Source organism: Homo sapiens, chromosome 18 (genome assembly GCF_000001405.40).
Source record: "Homo sapiens chromosome 18, GRCh38.p14 Primary Assembly".
Taxonomy (NCBI): domain Eukaryota; kingdom Metazoa; phylum Chordata; class Mammalia; order Primates; family Hominidae; genus Homo; species Homo sapiens.
The window spans coordinates 57,855,898-57,857,102 of record NC_000018.10 but is presented as its reverse complement, the minus strand read 5'-3'; the positions used below and the strand labels follow the sequence as shown (position 1 = coordinate 57,857,102).

Below are 1,205 nucleotides of genomic sequence, written 5' to 3'. Positions count from 1 at the left end.
ACCCACAAGATCAAAATGCAAAAAAGGATGTTTTTATGTATCCTCCCTGAAAGGTTGGTGGATTTTGTTAAATCTATCCAGGATTTTTGGTTCTAGCAGTGTGTGTGCTTCTGGTCTCGATACACTATTAAAGCAAACAGCAAGCAATCTGATAGCAGCTTCCCAGGCTACCGCAGAGAAGGCTAGACAATCTTCTGGTCATAACGACTTTCACAGCTCAAACTGTGCTACAGACCCAAGGACTTAATTTCCCCAGCTTCTAGTCCTCTTTGTGAAAACCATTATATTTTGTCATCTTCTCTGGTCCCTCAGTAGGAAAATCTCCACTTGTCCAATATACTGGCCATTAGCAATTGGAAATTTCACTCCTTAGAGTGCTGCTTACAGAGAATGCGGCGATTTGCAGTCCATTTATTGTACCCTTTGTTCTTTAAAATTTATGAGGCCGTTTGCCTGGGTTCTTATTGCCGAAAGTGAATTGACCATTAGCAGGAGACTAGTAGCTGCTAAGTGGATTCTGTTGTAGAGTATTCTCAAAGACCATTAGCTTTTCATTGTGGGGGGCAATTGGTGTTTACTGTTTATTGTGTGGTTCAATTGCATGCATTGTTCCCCTGAGGTTGTAAAACCTTTAAAAGCATTGAGAATAGCTTTTAAAAATCCACTTGAAAATATGCGACCATTTTCACTAGATACAGATAGTGAATAAGAGGAAGAGCTGATCACCAGGGCTTTGTTTTACTCATGATCAGTCTGGTATATTTGCCTTCTGACTCAGTGGATTATTCCCCTTCCCCTGAACTTCAGAGTTAGCTGTAAACAATGTGCATCAAGTCATTTCACCCTAAATGCAAATACCGGTCTCGGAACAAATATTAAATAGCACCAATTGAGGCTTTTATGTTCTTTATCAAACCCCAAGGTAAAGATGGCTTCTGAAAAGAGGTTCTTTCCTGTGGATCAATTCTGATATCTAGTCTACAGGCCACAAGCTTTTCACTCATCCTCTGTCTTTGCCAAGGAGTTAACTGGGGAATGGGGAAACCATTAAAAATAGTAAAGGCAGAATAGAAATTGTGAATAAAGGCGAGAGGAAAAGCTTATAAACCTGCTAGTAATGGAGTAAATAAGAAATAAAGTCACTTTAGGTAAATAATTGATAAAAATTTGTCTCATTAAATATTTATCATATCAGTATAACAAAA

The 1,205-nt window shown here is 38.5% G+C and overlaps 1 annotated feature.

The window, feature by feature from the left end:
* Positions 292 to 849: an enhancer, noted in NCBI's record as "NANOG hESC enhancer chr18:55523486-55524043 (GRCh37/hg19 assembly coordinates)". NCBI's record gives its function as "activates a minimal SCP1, AML or CMV promoter by ChIP-STARR-seq in naive H9 embryonic stem cells {active_cell/tissue: H9 hESC(naive)}" and the evidence as "EXISTENCE:reporter gene assay evidence [ECO:0000049][PMID:30033119]".